We start from the raw sequence: 19,114 nt of genomic DNA, 5'->3' as shown, positions 1-19,114 counted from the left end.
ACCACAAGTCAACAGGCTAAGAAAGGAGTTACAATGTTGGCTGGGGTGATTGACCAAGACTATCAAGATGAAATCAGTCTACTACTCCACAATGGAGTGAAGGAAGAGTATGCGTGGAATACAAGAGATCCCTTAGGGCATCTGTTAGTATTATCATGCCTTGTGATTAAGGTCAATGAGAAACTACAACAACCCAATCCAGGCATAACTACAAATGGTCCAGGCCCTTCAGGAATGAACATTTGGGTCACTCCACCAGGTAAAAAACCACAACCTGCTGAGGTGTTTGCTGGAGGCAAGGGGAATACAGAATGGGTAGTCAAAAAAGGTAGTCATCTGTACCAGCTACCACAATGTGACAAGTTGCAGAAATGAGGACTGTAATTGTCATGAGTTTTCCTCCTTATTTTGTTAAAAACATGTTTGTGCATGTATACACTTGTATTAAGAAAATGTCTTCATTGTATTTCTTTTTCCTTTATCGTGTGACATAAGATTTATTGACTTCATTTCAGCATTTAAGTGTTGTTACCTTTATGTAAGAGCATTTAGGTTTATTGCATTTCTGGTTGTACAAAAGATCGTAGTATTATGTTCGGCATAATTATGACCTTATTGTCTTTATTTGAAGATTATGTATGATTTTATGGGATGTCTATGGGTTCAAGTTCACAAGGGGTGGGCTTGTGATGGTTAATATTGAGTGTCAACTTCATTAGAATGAAGGATGCAAAGTATTGTTCTTGGGTGTGTCAGTGAGGGTGTTGACAAAGGAGATTAATATTTGAGTCAGTGGACTGGGAGAGGCAGACCAAACCTTAATCTGGGTGGGCACCATCTAATCACCTGTCAGCATAGCTAACAAAAAGCAAGCAGAAGAAGCTGGAAAGAGCGGACTTGCTGAGTCTTCTGGCCTTCATCTTTCTCCTGTGCTGGATGCTTCCTGCCCTCAAACATCAGACTCCAAGTTCTTCAGCTCTTGGACTCTTGGACTTACACCAGTTGTTTTCCAGCGGCTCTTGGGCCTTTGGCCACAGACTGAAGTCTGTTCTGTCAGCCTCCCTACTTTTGAGGTTTTGGAACTGGGGCTGGCTTCCTTGCTCCTCAGCTTGCAGAGAGCCTATTGTGGGACTTCACCTTGTGATCATGTGAATCAACACTCCCTAATAAACTCCCTTTCATATATACCTCTATCCTATTAGTTCTGTCCCTCTAGAGAACCATGACTAATACATAAGTGATCAGGGAATTGTAAATTAAAACAACAATGAGATACCACTACCCACCTATCATAATGGTGAAAATCCAAAACACTGACAACAGCAAATGCTGGCACAATGTGGAGCAATAGGAACTCTTATTTATTTCTTGTGGGAATGCAAAATCTTATAGCCACTTTGGAAGACAGTTTAGATGTTTCTTACAAAACTAAACATACCCATACATCAAATTCAGCAACTGCACTCCTTGCTATTTACCCGAATGAGGAGGGAGAGAGAGAAGGAGGGAGGGAGGAAAGGAGGGAGGGAGGGAGGGACAGAGGGAAGGGAGGGAAGGAAGGATAAAGAAAGAAAAGGAAAAGAGAAAAGGGAAAGGGTACACAAGAAAATGTTTAGGGTGGTAGATATGTTCAATATCTTGATTGTAGTGATGATTTCATAGGTGCATACATGTGTCAAATGTACCTAGGTATGTGTAATTTGTTGTAGGTCAATTTTATCCCAGGCAAGCTGTAAAAAAAAATAATAAATACTAAAGCCTAACAAGAAAACAAAATATCCTATCATACTGACCCTCTGAGCCCTGCACTTTATATTGGTAGCAGTTTCTATCAACTTGTTAAAGCCTCCAATCTGGAAAGCAGTATGTGAGGTGCTGCCATTTAATCCTCTCAACTGACCACTGGCTGCCTCTCCCCCTTACAAGATTCCCCTGACACTCCCTTATGCCACCACTAGATTTTATTTTGATTTTATTTTTAATTTTTGTGAGCACATAGGAGGTGTATATATTCATAGGGTACATGAGATGTTAAAGAATTTATATAGATGAAAATTTGTTCATAAAAAGATGCTGAATATCATTAGTTATTACGGAAATGCAAAATGGAACCACAGTAATATACCACTACACATCAATTAGAATGGCTAAAATTTGAAAAGACTAAGCATAAAAATTGTTGGCAATAACATGAAGGAACTAAACTCTCATATACTGCTACGGGAATGTAAAATGGTACAACCACTTTGAAAAACAATATGGCAGTTTCTTAAAATATTAAGCCTACACATACCATATAATGATACTCTGAATATGGAATCAAATTTATCAGTTTGTTCTTTTAGGGACTGTGCCTTTTATGTATGTAAGAAAGCTTTGCCTAAGCCAAAATCGCAGAGGCTTTCTCTTTATATCTTCTATAAATTTTATAGGCTTAGGTTTTATGTTTAGGTTTGTGATGCATTTGAGTTAATATTTTTAATATGGCATAAGATAGGGATCTGAGTTTTAAAAAAAATATTCATTTTTCCAAATAGATATTCAATTGTTCCAGCACCATTTATTGAAAAAGACTATCTTTACTGAATTGCCTTTGCACCTTTGTCAAAAACCAGTTTTTCATATATGTTCGGATCTATTTCTGCATCCATCATCTTGAATTGCAATTACATTCTTATATGTCAAAATTTGTTGGGAATAACATACGTGCTGCCTTGTTCATGTTTATCTTCTCAGGTCTAGCATTATGCTTGTTTGAGGAATGAATCTCTAAATCAGGGAACAAACTATTATAATCTGTATGGAATTTTTCCTTCTAAGGTGCTTACAATTCTTGCTCAGTGTTTACAGTTCTTGAAAAATGTCTTTTGTTTTTCCCCTTTGGCCCTGTGTAATACAAACTGTGCCAAAAATAAATTCAAAAGCTAAAAAATAAACTAAATCAGAATTTAAGGAGTTATAGTTACAACTCAGACTCCAGGCTGGGCATGGTGGCTCACACCTGTAATCCCAGCACTTTATGAGGCCAAGACAGGCGGATCACTTGAGGTTAGGAATTCCAGACCAGCCTGGCCAACATGGTGAATCCCCGTCTCTACTAAAAATACAAAAATTAGCCAGGCGTGGTGGCACACGCCTATAGTCCCAGCTATTCAGGAGGCTGAGGTGGAAGAATCACCAAACCCAGGAGGCGGATGTTGCAGTGGGCTGAGATTGCACCGCTGCACTCCTGCCTGGATAACAGAGCAAGACTTCATGACATTAATTAATTAATTAAGTAAGTAAAATAAAACTCAGACTCTAGAAATTTTTTTTTAGTCCCTCAGGTTAAAATTTTTTAAAAAATATTTAACTTTTGACTGTTGATACCATAGTGTTCAAAACATAACATGCATTGAAAAAGCCATGTTTGACATTGGGTTTCCAGGCGTTTTTCCTCCCTGTGTAAATGGCCTTATGTGGGTACCGTTTTACCTTGATGAAAACAAAGAGCAGGCAATTTTTCAGTCAGAAAACTGCTGAGAGATATTATTAAACTGTGTGAGATGAAGAACACAGAACTGACAGACTGCACAGCAGTTGGCAAGTTTGAAAAAAAAAAAAAAAGATGTGAGGTAGAATATCCAGAGACCTGGGGAAGAGCTCTTAGCTTATAAATGGGGAGGAGTGATTTGCCTTGCAATCTCCAAGTGCATTTGCCATGTTAGTGCTGTCACTCTTCAATTCAGTCCAATAAACACTTCTCCAAGAGCCAGACCTATACTTCATAAATAGACAAAATTTCCATAGCAGCAGCCATAAAGGTAATAAGCATCTTGAACAAGGAGAGACCATCTTCTGAAAGGATTGTTTTATATTTATTTAGTACGATAACATCCTCTGTAATTTTTAAAATGTTTTTACAGGCTTAATTTCAAATAATCTTCAACCTAAAGTCACAAGGAGGATGGGGGAGGTATAAGTTCCACAGGGACTTGAAGAAGTTAAGGATCATGCCCACGATCACACTGTAATTTGGGGACTGAACTGGAACTGGAAACAGATCTGATTAAACCTGTAGCCTTTCCACTGTCTTCCTCTTAATTCTTGCTGACCTTCAAGAAACTTAAGGATGTCATCTTCTGGGGGGGGCGAAATAATTCCCTTTTCTAAGTCTTCAGCCTTCTGCCATAGCTCCATTTTCTCTCCTTTTCCACCCAGCATCTTAAAGGAATTCCTTGTGATACAAGCATTCCTGCCTTCAGACCTCCACCCTCACCACTCTAAAAAATTGCTCTCTTGAAAGCCATCGGTAATTGCAAAATTCAGTTACCTTTCTCACACCTCATCATCCTACCATCCTTCAGTGTTTGGCCCAGTGAACTGTAAGCTCACTAAAAAAAAAAAAAAAAAACTCCAAACGTGCTAGATCATCAGCAGATAAAGTCTTAGGAAAATTGAATTATTCAGGGCTTTCTAGACTGAATAACAACAGTAAATTATTTTTAAAGAAGCTTTATAATAGTCTTGTCTTCTAGGCAAGTGCTAGATGAGTTCATGTATTTGGTCTCATTTTACTTTCACAATAATCCTGTGAAGCAGACATTGCCATCTCTAGTTTACATCTGAGAAATGCTAGGTTCAGAGAAATTGAAAAACTTGATCCACAAAGTTGCTAAGTGGTCCTGATCATAGACCTCCTTCTTCCAAAGCACAGCCCCCTCTTCCATCCATTAACCCATTAGGGAACAAGATGCTTTGTATAAATTAATTTTGCAGATAAATTTTCGAGCAAAACAAAAATTTTAAACCAAGGGGTTTTAAAATTATTTTTTACAGGTATCATTTCAAAAATTTATTCTTAAAGAATAGAAACATAATTTAACATCTTCTTAATGGCATAGTCATATTATGAACATCTATTTGCACAGTCCATGCAACATTCTTGTGTTCTTGCTTCCTCATTCAGCATTAGATTCTTGTTAAGCGCTGCTAACATTTTTGCTTTTTACAATTGTGTCATACTATTTCTATTCTACAAGAGTATTTCAAAAACAATTAACTAGAACATGAAATAGCCAAAGTATTAACAGCTACTTGAAAAACAGGCCAAACCATTTTTGCATTAGAACATCAAGAATACTGTGTTTGCCTTTGGTTAGGGACTGCTTTGAGACATAATTTTTATTGGGAAGGGGTTTTTGGGGGTTTTTGTTAGGTGGGGGATGGCAGTTGCCCTGTTTGGTGTTCTTTCAGGCATTAATGGGAATTCTAATAAAAAAGGACTCTACAGGCAAATACATTTGGAAAGTGCTGCATGCCATTTCTTAGCCTTGGATATTCACAAGATATTTTGGCATGTGTTTTTAATGCCCCAGTATTTTATACTTATTCTATAGCTAAGTAGATGATAGATGCAGGAGTAGATGTAGATTTAGGTACTAGGGTTTCTGTCTTAGTCTTTTTGGGAATAGAAGCCAGCATGTATCTTACAGGCAATAAATGCTAGCTATTAATTTATATTAAATCATCATTGAATAAAAAATATTATACAACCCATTTAAAAAAAAAAACAATGAAAACAAGATAAAAATATTACTAGCCATCAAATTTTACCAGCTCACAGCATTTTCACCATCTCTTTCAATACTCACCATTATTATAATGATGCCATGATTACTATTACTACAGGCATTAGTGACCTGAATAACTATAATAATATTAGTATGTGTAGTAACAGCAAATGAATTTGAATATTAATTTTCTCATAGGAAAATTATAAAAATCTGGTCTGCGTGAAGTTCATGTTTTTTTTTGTTTGTTTTGTTTTGTTTTTTTCTTTTGAGATGGAGTCTCACTCTGTCGCCCAGGCTGGAGTGCAGTGGCGCAATCTTGGCTCACTGCAAGCTCTGCCTCCCGGGTTCGCGCCATTCTCCTGCCTCAGCCTCCCGAGTAGCTGGGACCACAGTGCCTGCCACCATGCCCGGCTAATTTTTTGTATTTTCAGTAGAGATGGGGTTTCACCGTGTTAGCCAGGATGGTCTCTATCTCCTGACCTCATGATCCGCCCGCCTTGGCCTCCCAAAGTGCTGGGATTACAGGTGTGAGCCACCGCACCCACCCCGAAGTTCATGATTTTTTAAAGAATAAAAATTTGGGGCCAGGCACGGTGGCTCATGCCTGAAATCCCAACACTGTGGGAGGCTGAGGTGGGTGAATCACCTGAGGTCAGGAGTTCGAGACCAGCCTGGCCAACATGGTGAAACCCTGTCTCTACTAAAAATACAAAAATTAGATGGGGGTGGTGGTGAGCACCTGTAGTCCCAGCTACTTGGGAGGCTGAGGCAGGAGAATCACTTGAACCCAGGAGGTAGAGGTTGCAGTGAGCCAGGATAGCACTACTGCACTCCAGCCTGGGTGACAGAGCAAAACTCTATCTAAAAAAAAATTAAAAAAAAAAAAAGAATAAAAGTTTTGGTTAGGCGCAGCAGCTCATGTCTGTAATCCCAACACTTTGGGAGGCCAAGGAGGGAGGGTCACTAGAGCCCAGGAGTTTGAGACCAGCCTGCACAATATAGGGAGATCTGTCTCTAGGAAAAAAAAAAAAAAGATTGGCCAGGCTTGGTGGCACATGCCTGTAGTCCCAGCTACTCAGGAGGCTGTACCTCAGTAGGAGAATTGCTTGAGCACGGGAGGTAAAGGGTGTAGTGAGCTGTGATTGTGCCAGCCACTGCACTCCAGCCTGGGTGACAATGCAAGATCCTGTCTCAAAAAAAAAAAAAAAAAGAATAAAAATTTTAAAATCACGATAGAAAGATGGCAAGATGGGAACAGGGAGATAAGATAGGAAAGAAATGTATTTATCCAAGGAAGATTTTGGTGCATGTCACAAAGACAAACTATATGTGGTTAGAGAGCTGGGGCTTTGAGCCATCTGATATCAGACAGGGGAAGGAGGCTGGAGCCAATGATCCAATCAATCATCCCTATGTAATGAAAGCCCAATTAAAACTCTGACAACAAAGCAGCTTCAGTGAGCTTCCCTGGTTGGTGATACTTTTGAATTTGTCACACATTGATGTACTGGACAGAAGTAGTGATGTCCAGGTCTCCACTGAGAGAGGATGACTAGGAGACTTACACTTCAGCTCCTCCCAGACCTCATCCTATGCATCTCTCCTTTTGGTTGGTTCTGATTTGTATCCTTTTGCTATAATAAAATTGTAGCTATAAGTACAGGCATACACTGTTTTATTGTGAGTTGCTTTATTTTGCTACACAGATATTCTGTTTTTAAAAATTGGAGGTTTGTGGCAACCCTGCACTAAATAAATCCATAGGTGTCATTTTTCCAACAGCATGTACTCACATCATTTTTCTGTGTCACATTTTGGTAGTTTTTGCAATATTTCAAACTTTTTCATCATTATTATATCAGTTATGGTGGTGTGTGCTCAGTAACCTTTGATATTATTGTAATTGTTTGGGGGCACCACAAACCATGCCAGTATAAGAAAGCAAACTTAACTGATAAATGTTGTGTGTGTTCTGACTGCTCCAACCACCAGCCATTTCCTCATCTCTCTTCCATTTTTTGGGCCTCACTATTCCCTGAGACATGACAATACTAAAATTAGGCCAATTAATAATCCATTGCACAATGTTCTATAAGTGTTCAAATGAAAGAAAAATCGTCTGTCTCTCACTTTAAATCAAAAGCTAGAAATGATTAAGCTTAGCGAGCAGGCAAGTTGAAAGCCAAAACAGGCTGAAAGCAAGGCCTCTTTCACTAAATAGCCAAGTTGTGAATGCAAAGGAGAAGTTCTTGAAAGAAAATGAAAGTGCTACTCCAGTGAACTTACGAATGATAAGAAAGCAAAACAGCCTTATTGCGGATAGGGAGAAAGTTTGAGTGATCTGAATAGAAGATCAAACCAGCCACAACATTCCCATAAGCCAAATCCCGATCCACAATAAGGCCCTAACTTTCCTCAATTCTGTGAAGGCTTCCTCTGTGAGGAAGCTGCAAAAGAAAAGCTGGAAGCTAGCAGAGGTTGGTTCATGCTATTTAAGGAAAGAAGTCATCTCCTTAACATAAACGTGAAAGGTGAAGCTGCAAGTGCTGATGTAGAAATGCAGTAAATTATCCAGAAGATCTAGTTAAGATCACTGATAAAGGTGGCTACACTAAACAATAGATTTTTACATAGACAAAAAAGCCTTCTATTGGAAGAAGATGCCATCTAGCACTTTCATAGCTAGAGAGGGGAAGTCAATACCCATCTACAAAGCTTCAAAGGACAAGCTGACTCTCTTATTAAGGGCTAAGGAAGCTACTGACTTTACATTGAAGCCAATGTTCATTTATCATTCTGGGACTTTTAAGAATTATGCTAAATCCACTCTACTTTGGGACAACAAAGCCTGGATGACTGCAGATGTGGTAGAAATAGCAAGAGAACCAGAATTAGAAGGGGAGCCTAAAGATGTGACTGAATTGCTACAGTCTCGTGATAAAACATGGATGGGTGAGGAGTTGCTTTTTATGGATGAGCAGAGAAAGTAGTTTCTTGAGAATCGACTCCTGGCAAAAATACTATAAACATTGTTGAAATGACAACAAATGATTTAGAATATACAGTTCTGAAAGAATTTCTGCTCTAGGTGAAATGCTATCAAATAGCATCACGTGCTACAGAAAAATCTTTTGTGAGAGGAAGAGTCCATTGATGCAATAAACTTCATTGTTGTCTTATTTTAAGAAATTGCCACAGTCACTTCAACCTTCAGCAACCACCACCCTGATCAGTCAGCAGCCATCAACATCAAGGCAAAACCCACCACCAGGAAAAAGATTATAACTCACTAAAGGCTCAGATGATTTTTAGCATGTTTTAATAATAAAATATTTTTTAAATTAAGGTATGTACATGTTTAAACATAATGCTATTATATACTTAATAGACTATGATATAGTGTAAACATAATTTTTATATGCAATGGGAAACCAAAAAGTGTGTGTGACTCACTTTATTGCAGTGGGCTAGAACTAAACCTGAAATATCTCCAAGTTATGTTGGCACAGCACCTTCCTAAGTTCTGTGAATTATTCTAGCAAATAGTTGAGGCTGATTGGATAGTAGAAACCCCCAATTTCTAGGCAGCTCATCAGAAGCCAAGGGGCCCTGAGGACACCAAGCCTGTGGCTGGTGTTTAAAGTGAGAGGACTTTTATAGAGCACCATGCCCTTAACCTGTGAAGTTTCCCTAACCCTGGATAGTTTGTGAGGGAAGTCATTGCAGCCACATAATGACCTAATGAGATTGGGATTGTTTATTATCCCTAGTTTACAGATAAGGAACTGAGGCACTGAGGGTCACTCAGCTGCCAACTGGGTAAAGCCAGATTCCAATCCTGGCAGGTCTGGCTCCAGAGTCCACAGTTTTATCCTCTCTATGATGCTCTACCATGCAGGGGGCTGGGGAGAAAGCAAGTGTAGAATGCTTCAACATTAGTTTTCTTTTTTTTTTTTTTTTTTTTTTTTTTTAGATGGAGTCTTGCTCTGTCGCCAGGCTGGAGTGCAGTGGCGCAATCTTGGCTCACTGCAACCTCCGCCTCCCGGGTTCAAGCGATTCTTCTGCCTCAGCCTCCCGAGTAGCTGGGACTACAGGCATGCGCCACAATGCCCAGCTAATTTTTCTATTTTTAGTAGAGACGGGGTTTCACCATGTTGACCAGGATGGTCTCGATCTCTTCACTTCCTGATCTGTCCGCCTCGGCCTCCCAAAGTGCTGGGATTACAGGTGTGAGCCATCGTGCCCAGCCAACATTATTTTTCAATCCTCAATGTTTCTCGCCTATGTCTACTTGGAGAGCAATATTTTTAGCAATTAAATTTCATTGCATCTCTACACATCATTCAACTCAAATTTTCATGGCAACAATGTTCTCTTCTTTTTGCATTTATATGTTATCTGTTTATGTATTATTTAAATTACATCATTTCAGGTGCAACTGGTGTAAAAAGATTTGGGGGGAAATGCCATGCTTTCTGTAAGCAGACAAATTTAAAAGAGGAAAGCAAATGTGTCACAGCTTGCTAGAGACTAGTCTCCTAATCATGAGTGTGCAGTATACGCACACGTTGGATTTATATGCAGTAAGATTTATGGAGGAAATAAAAAGCATCAGTGAAACAGGAGGAGCTAGGTTAAGAGAGGTCCTAATATGTAAGAGAAAAAGTCTGCAATGACCATGACCTTCTATTGATCCCTTCCACTAGCTCAATTCTATGACCCTGGTCTCATTTACAATGGTATTTTTTCCTTTGGTCCTTCTTGATTATTCCACTCAATAAAGCCCCTTTTCAGATTCACATTCATCCAACATTGATTGAGAGCCCGTGTTTATTTATTTATGCACCATTCCATCATCAAGCACCACAATCTGACCAATATTATGCCAGGTGCTTTCATATATATCACTTTCATCAGACCCATTTGATAAATGAGGCAGGAGGTTAAGGAGCTTACTGAATTCATGTCCTCTCATTTCCCATCTACTGTACCTCTCTAGAAACACCTCCTGACACACTGTGGATCTCAGCCACTTCAGTGAAGTTGTTACTAGCTCTCTGGAATCTTCAGGCCTCTACTCTTTCACCTTACTGGCCTCGTCCAATCCTGGGAAATGTCCTAGGTTCAAAAGTGCAGAAATACATGAAATCATTAGTCACTTGGACAAGCCTACAGTTGGTTTTTAGCCATTGAGCATTGCTGGGGAAATGTTCAATGTACCCAACTAACCTGAACGATTCCAAAATTCTCCAATTAAAAGAAATTATTTCTTCTGTGGAATTATCATAAAGTTTTATAATTGTATTTAACACTTTTTTGTATTTTTGCATATATATTATCTCCCCTTCTAGACGACAGTCTCTTTAAAGCTACTGTCTTATGCATTCTCATTCAACAAATATTTAACTCATATGGTTCCTTATATATTACTATCAGTCTATTACTACTAATAACAATAATGACATAAATACACGGCTCTACAATTTTTTCTCACCAATTTACAAGCACTATCACATTTACATCTTACGCTAGTCTCATTACAAATAACTCCTTGAGTGAGTCTGGTGGATTGTATTAGTGTTTAATGTATTTGCCGCCTTCCCTAGAGAATTATCTTTCCCCACCCTAGTGATAGTGGGCTTGCCTGGGTGCTTTGCAGGGCCCCTCTATAAGTGAGAATTGTACATCCCTGCATTTTGAAACCAGGATTGGCCAAGTGACCTGCTTTGGCCAATGAAATATGGGCTCAAGTAACACACTTCCAAGCAAAATCTTTAAAAGCAAGCTCATGGATTCCCACAGCTTTCCTTTCCTTCTGTCCTAAGACAGGCAATATCTTAAACAGAGTTTGTTCCATCAGCCTGTATCATGGAGTAAAGTGACATTGATCTGAACCCATGCAGACCTGTGAATGACATGTGGCTAAGCAAAAGGCAAACCTAGGTCTTTTTAAACCAATAAGATTTGAGAATTGCTTGTTACTGCAGCATTACTTAGTTTACTCAAATAGACATCAGGGATATTAATATTTTGCCTATCTTAAAAATGAATAAATGAATGGCCAGTCTAATGGTATGGAGAAAACTGGGCATCAAGGCTATTTACTAATTGTACTTCCAGATTTAGTCATCACATAACATGTGACCTTGATTAAATGGCCCACAGGTCCAGATGGGACCACTCATGGTTCCCACTTTTCTACTTTATCCATATGCTCTAATAATTACTAAGGCAATGTATTCTGTGAATTGCACACAAACTTTACCCACAAAATAAGCAGTAATTTCCTTGAAAAAGGAGTCAGGTCCCCATTAGAATTTAAGTGGCACATTTGCATTATTTTGTCAATGAAGATATAAAAACAGGTATAAATTTCTGGGTAATAATTTGAAGTTAACGTGAATTTAGTTGCATCTTTACTTTCCAGAATCAATACAAGCAGTCACTAGAGTGCTAATGATTTAGTTAAGCCTGCTATCCCCCTACATAGCCCATTTAAAATTTTCCCTTTTTCTTGATTTATTCCTCAGGTGGTAAAATCAAACTGCTCTAAAATAAAACTATCACTTAAATTATTTGACAGAACCGAAAGTTAAAATAAGATCATAGCCACTATTCCTGTCTAAATTTCAAAAGCGTATTCCTTAATACCCAGTATCATAAAAGCTAGCAGTGATCCCCAGAAAACAACTTCTCTCCCCACACATTCAGGCCAGCTTCTTCCTCTGAATCCAGAAAGATGAAATTAACTCAGTTTGAAAGATCTCCATACCTGTCCCTGGTTCCTGGCAGTGATTCTCATGTACACAACATGGAGTAACTCCCTTCAGGCAGCCAAACAGAGGTGCAGGAGACAGATTATGGACCAAGGTCTAACCTGACCTATATCGCATCCTATTTTGACTTTCCCTTAGGTGCTTCACATCCTTATTAATCTCCAATGGGACATGTAAAAGGCATCTTATGAAGTTCCCAACCTATATTAATTCCAAGTTTACAATTTGGCACAAGTTATCCTAGAATTTAATCACATTTAAATAAGGAATGGCATTTGGCGATGCCCAAAAGGAAAAGAAGGGAAACAGGGAAGACATTTTAAGGGATCACGAAACTCTTTGTACATGAATGCTTTTCATAGAGTAGCCTTTTATAGGTTGTATGGAATAGGAGGAGATGGAGCAATTGTTTTCCATGAAACAAGGGCACAATCCTCCCGGGGAGAAATTCTTGACTAAAAGCAACTGGTACCTATCCAAGTTCAATCTACTGAAAACATATTTATTAACTATTTTGCTGAACCCAACTTTACCTGGCACTACTATCCATTAAAGCTGATTCACAACGAGACCTAAAGCCCTCAACTTAGAGGCCACTGGATGTGTTTAAAACAGAAGTAACAATTCATAGGCACTGTGTTCTTCATAACTGAAGTGATGTTATTGACAGTATCTTTATTTCTAGACCTACCTGTGTCTCCGGAGTGATTTCGCAGCTCTTTGGAATACCCCTAAAGCAGCATACTTGGTGATGTTGGTGATAAGATAGCTGTAACGGAATTCATGATCTCAGTTGTCCAGGAGAATACTTATTTGGGAAAATAGTTTTCATTACAATGGCAGCCAGCCTCCACAATGGTCCCCAACAATCTCTGCCTCCTGGTATGCCTCTTTTGTCTCCTATTCATGCCCTGTGTACTCTCCCACATTGCATAGAACAGACTTGTATAACCAATGGGATGTTGCAGAAATGATAGTGTTTGACCTCCAAGGTAGGTCATAAAAGACATCAAGGCTTCCATCTCATTTTCTTAAATCACTCGATCTGGAGGAAGCTAGCCACCATGTCATGAGGACACTCAAACAACCTTATAACGAAGTTTACATCATGAGGAACTAAGCCCTCCTACAGGAGATAACTGCTTATTTTTAAATCTAGGCTTGTGGGTAATTTGTTATGCAGAAATAGAAAACTAATGCAATTAACAATATAAAGATGACTTGCCAGGGTTGAAACACAATATTTGGCCACCAAGTAAACATTCCAGACACAAATCTATTAGTAACAGAGAGCTCTATGTCTGCCCTACGTCTTCCCTGTCCTGATTACAGTATCATCTATTTTTTAGCACTATAACAACAAAGTTCCTAAGTTTCTGCTCTAAACCTATAAAAATAAACAGAAAATTGAGTTGTGAGGACAAAGGTGTTGATAGTGTTAAGTGCTAAAAATAAAAAAATAAAAAAACAGACACAGGATCAAGCTTGAGTTGTTCTTAGTCCAGTTGGTGTGTGAAAGGCTTCCAAAACATAATGTATTTGCAAGGAACATGATTCAGAAATTTGTACTTCAATGGACATTTGATGCTTTATCTTAATTTTACCAGATAAAGCCAGTGCTGGACTCTCCTTTCATCTTATTCCATATAGCCAATTGAATAAAAAGCCAGGTATGTGTTCCGTGAACAAGAATTCTTTATACTGAAGGAAGCATGTTTATTTTCCTTACCAAAGATGAAACTAGAAATTTTTAGGCTTAAGAAAATTCTAAGAAGAACCTCCAAAAATCCCTAGGTCTGAAGTTCAACTAAACACTTACTATTCATCTTCATTAGTCCCACCTTGTCACTCCTAATGTGTTATTTCCTCTCCCAAACCCCATCAGTGTTTGTGGCTCAAATCTTCCAGACCCTAGGCCTTTCTTTCCCCAGAATCTATGCCAGGAAGAATGTGGGAAAATATAAGAGGCATTGAAGTTGCAGAGCCTGGAGAAACCTATTAAAGTTTCCCTGGCATTGACATTTCCCCAAGATTCTATTCTGAGACTTTGATTCTTCTTTTTTTTTTTACTTTTATTTTTTATTTCTTTTTTAATTTTTATTTCCATGGGTTTTTGAGGAACAGGTGGTATTCATTTACATGACTAAGTTCTTTAGTGGTGATTTGTGAGATTTTGGTGCACCCATCACCCGAGCAGTATACATTGAACCTGATTTGTAGTCTTTTATCCCTCACCCCACTCCCACCTTTTCCCCCGAGTCCCCAAAGTCTATTGTATCATTCTTATGCCTTTGCATCCTCATAGCTTAGCTCCCATGTATTAGTGAGAACATACAATGTATGGTTTTCCATTCCTGAGTTACTTCACTTAGAATAATGGTCTCCAATCCCATCCAGTTTGTTGAGAATGTCATTAATTCATTCCTATTTATAACTGAGTAGTATTCCATTGTGTGTGTGTGAGTGTGTGTGGCACACACAACACAGTTTATCCACTCATTAATTGATGAACACCTGGGCTGGTTCCACATTTTTGGATTTTGTGAACTGTACTGCTATAAACAGGCATGTGCAAGTATCTTTTTCATATAATGACTTCTTTTCCTCTGGGTAGATACCCAGTAGTGTGATTATTGGATCAAACGGTAGTTCTCTTTTTAGTGATTCTTCTTTTTTAAGACACCTTCCTATTGGTGTCTCAGGTCCAGTACTCATCTCTTTTCGCATTCTATTCTAGTGGCTCTTAAACTTCTCAGGGCAAAAGACCCCTTTGAGAGTCATGAAACCTTTGAACCATTATTTCCAGAAAAAAAAATGAATATGAAACTTAAAATTTTCATACAAGCTGTAAATGTTATGTTAAAATTTTCATACAAACTGTAAAGGTGCAGTACTCACTGAAACCCATATGTGTACTCTCCGGGAATCTAGCTTAAAAGCCTCAACAATAGATGTTTTCCCTGGATGATCTTAACTAGTGTCAGAGCTTCAGTCATCATCCAAGTCTATTATTTCCAGCCCAGGCACCTGTCCTAAATCCTACAACTCTATCCCCAATAATCCAATGGACATTTTAACTTCGAAGGGCCATTCCCACTTCACTCTACAAAGTCTCCTCCTTTTATGCTCTCTGTTCAATAAATGGGATCAACATCCATTCAACTGCCCAAACCAAAAAACTGGGAGTCATCTGGACGTGTCTCTTTTCTTCATTCCCTATATAGAAACTACTACTAGCAAATTCTGTCTTCTCAAATCTACCCTCTTTTTTCAGTCTCTACTTCCCACATTTATAGTAATAAACTGTTCTTCCTGCCTCCAGGAAGGAAGATCACCTTCCTTCACCTGATTTGAAGACCTTGCATATCAATCTGAAACCTAAATTATCATTTTATTTTTATTTATTTTTAATTGACCAAAAACTGTGCATATTTATCATGTAAAACACGGTGTTTTTGAAATATGCATACATTATGGAATGGCTAGATGGAGCTAATTAACGTATGCATTGCCTCACATACTTATTTTTTGTGCTGAAAACACTTAAAATCTAAACTATTATTTAGATTGTAATCATGTCCCCCATTAACTCCAAAAATAACTTTGACTGGATCCTCATTTGTTTTAGAATAAAATTAAAAGTCCTGGAGTGAGATTTCCCCACCCTGCTCTCAAAGTAACACTTAATATTGCCTTAACATGTTGCATGTTGTTTCTCTTCCCTACTACAATGTAAGATACTCTTAAAAGTCACTTTTTAAAATCTTAAGTTACAAACAAAGGTACTCATTATAACTTGTGACACAATGCAAACAAAAATAATAATTTTCCCCTCCCTACCCCACCCCACATTTCAGGGCTGCGCATCAAGAATCCAAGTGTCTAAAAGGCAGAGATTGTACTTTTTCATAAACATATCTTGTGTTTTGCACAGTACATGCACAATGCAGGCACCCAGTGATTATTTTCTAATAAATTGTTTACATCTTATGGCACTGTGGAATCAAGGCAGACCGCCTTCATTTATTCTAAACCCTTGCTATTCAAAATGCGGTCAGTGGGTCAGCAGCGCCAGCACCACATGGGAGCTTCCATATTGAGAAAAGCAGAATGTCAGCCCCCACCTCAGACCCACAGATTCAGAAGGCCCCCAGGGGACCAAAAAGCACATTAAAGTTTAAGGAGCACTCCACTAAAGCACATTTTAGAGCAGCTGCCCCGACTGACGCATGGTCATTCTCTGTAAAAGACACCCATAGAAGCCATCTCCTAAAGACATAAGGCAGATGTTGTAAAAGGACACCTAAATACCAAATCAGTTTACACCAGTGGGTTCTAAACATAATGTTGTTGGTTTGCATGCTAAGTCGAAGCACTGCATTCTCTGATAACTGTATTTCAATTAAGAGATTTTCAGTGAAAGCTGGCCTTGAATGTTACACAGAGTATGTGGCTCTGGTGTAGAGCACAGCCACTAAAAGCAGAGACTATCAACTTTTGCTTTTATCAGGAAATATGTTTCTCTCCATTGAAACAACTGAAATTTAACTATCAAATCCTCAATACTTTAAGTAGGACACACTTCAGAACAATTATTAATATATGTACTTTCTAATACTCAGACAGCAAGGCAAAATGGAAAACATGGCACTCAAGAGTTTGTTTTTGAGCTCGGTCTCTGTGTTAACCTATATAATTCTTCATACCCATTACCATAAGTATCCACATCTGTAAAACATGGATAAGACTCCCTTACTCATAAGGTTATTGTGAAGACTTAATGTAATGTATACACAATTCGTGGCATGTAGAAGGCACTTGATAAAGGGTGGCTATTCATAAATATGATTATTTTATTGAATAATTTCAGAATCTTCACTAGCTCCTTTAAAACCCGTGCCTAACCTCAGAGAACAGCTTTCCCTAATCTAATAAATCATCAAAGTTTAACCTAGGCACCAACTCTGTAAAGATTTTGATACCCACTTCCACTTCACTCCCTCCCTCCCTTCTGTATGTTTCCTATACACTATATACATTTCTGTCGTCATAGCACTTAGTCTTTATTGTACTTCCTTTTTAACATCTTTCTCTTCTCTATATACTGCACTCTCTCAAATAAGGACAAACTGTTTCTTTGGAGAAACCCTGGCATCTAGCGCAATTAATGACACATACTAAGTAGTTAATTCATAATTGAGGAATAAGTTAATGAATAAATATCAGATCCTCCAGAAACTTCCTTACGGACTGATCAACAACTTCTATTGCTCTGTCGTTGGTGGGAAGTCATTTTCAAATTCTCTGTTTTTCTCCTGTGACAGCCTCTTTAAAAAGTCTCTGCCCTCTTCACTGCCCCCAGCTGCCCATGCACCTCACATGCATTCCACCTCCAAATCACACTCAGAGCTCCCTCTTTATTTCTCTTGTCTCTATTGCTCTTTCCTTCCTACAGAATCTAAATTCTTCAATTGCAAGGGAGGAAGGGAGGTTGTTTTTGCCTCAGGTGTAACATTCCGTACACCCAAGTCAGAAATAAAGCCAAGAGAGGAAACTCTCTGCAGAAGGTTCTTTTTACCTGGTTTTCCCACCACGGACACCTGATTCTTATTTGTAAGAAACATGAAATCTACCCAATTTACTTAGGCTTTCATTAAGAAAACATACAGATTTTGGGGGCGAGTTGTTGCTCTGTTTCTCTCTCTCTGTCTCTCTTTTCTCTCTCTCTCTCTCTCTCTCTCTGTCTCTCTCTCTCCTCTCTCCCCCTCTCTGTCTCCCCTCCTTCCTTTCCGCACCCTATTTGCTTGTTCAACTCATCCTAAAATGGATTTAATTACTTATTTAATAGCCTGCATGATATTTCCTCACAAGGGGAAAAAAGATAGTGATTATAAACATTAAGAATGCAAAATTTAAACGGGAAAACAGAATCTTGCCTCATGGGTGGTCTTAGTTGCTCCTGAGGCATATGAAGGAAAAATGGGTTTCTAGAGTTTCCTTGCTCATTTCTAGAAACACCTGCAGGCTCTTGGGGAAGATCGTCTTTTAAAGTGCCTCATCAAAAGCTGTTTACAGTCTAATTTTTTTTTAACTCCCGTGTTTTAATTTACCTCTTTTCAAGCTGAATCTAATAAACTGCTGGTAATAGAAATATGATGCAGTCCCAAATTTGATCTTAATTCTCTAGAGATTTCTAAAAATTAAGTCAAGATCAGATGGACTTTAGTTCTTGTGTTTTACAGTCACATGAAACAAATTTTCTAAGATTTACATCAGATTTAAAATGTTAAAATCCATTATAATTCTAGGCATTTTGTTTAGTTACTTCTCTGGGCAAAATTTTAGAACTTTATAGCATATTTATAATTTCTGTGATACCAATTTCACTTACTTCAACTTATATTGTTTTTTTTATTTGATGCCAGTTCTTACTTGGCAGAATCGCTACATCATTCCCAGTCAATTCTTCATTTTCATATACTCCTAGGATTATAGTAAGATTGTCAGATTTACTAAGTAAGAATGCAGAATGTCCAGTTAAATTAGAATCTCAGGTAAACGACAAATTATTTGTTAGTATTAGTATAGTCCCTGTAATATTTGGGACTTATTTATATTAAAGATGATTCAGGTGCTTGAAACAATAGAAATTTATTCTCTCAAAGTTTAGGAAGCCGGAAGTCTGAAATGAAGCCATCAGCAGGGCTATGCTCACTCCGAAGGCGCTAAGGGAGAATCCTTTCTTGCTTCTTCCAGCTTCTGGTGGTTCAGGCATTCCTGGGA

General features: G+C 38.4%; 1 long non-coding RNA gene across 1 annotated transcript in view; it reads right to left on the bottom strand.

The window, feature by feature from the left end:
• Nucleotides 1-10,367: 10,367 nt before the first annotated feature.
• Nucleotides 10,368-19,114, bottom strand: part of LINC01031 (long intergenic non-protein coding RNA 1031) — a 61,209-nt gene continuing 52,462 nt past the window's right edge. Inside the window, exon 4 of the long non-coding RNA NR_125789.1 lies at nt 10,368-10,673. This is a non-coding gene — a long non-coding RNA (long intergenic non-protein coding RNA 1031). The remainder of the gene's footprint in view (nt 10,674-19,114) is intronic.

This window comes from Homo sapiens, chromosome 1, assembly GCF_000001405.40.
Source record: "Homo sapiens chromosome 1, GRCh38.p14 Primary Assembly".
NCBI classification, from domain to species: Eukaryota; Metazoa; Chordata; class Mammalia; order Primates; family Hominidae; genus Homo; species Homo sapiens.
This window is presented reverse-complemented; position numbering and strand designations above follow the sequence as displayed.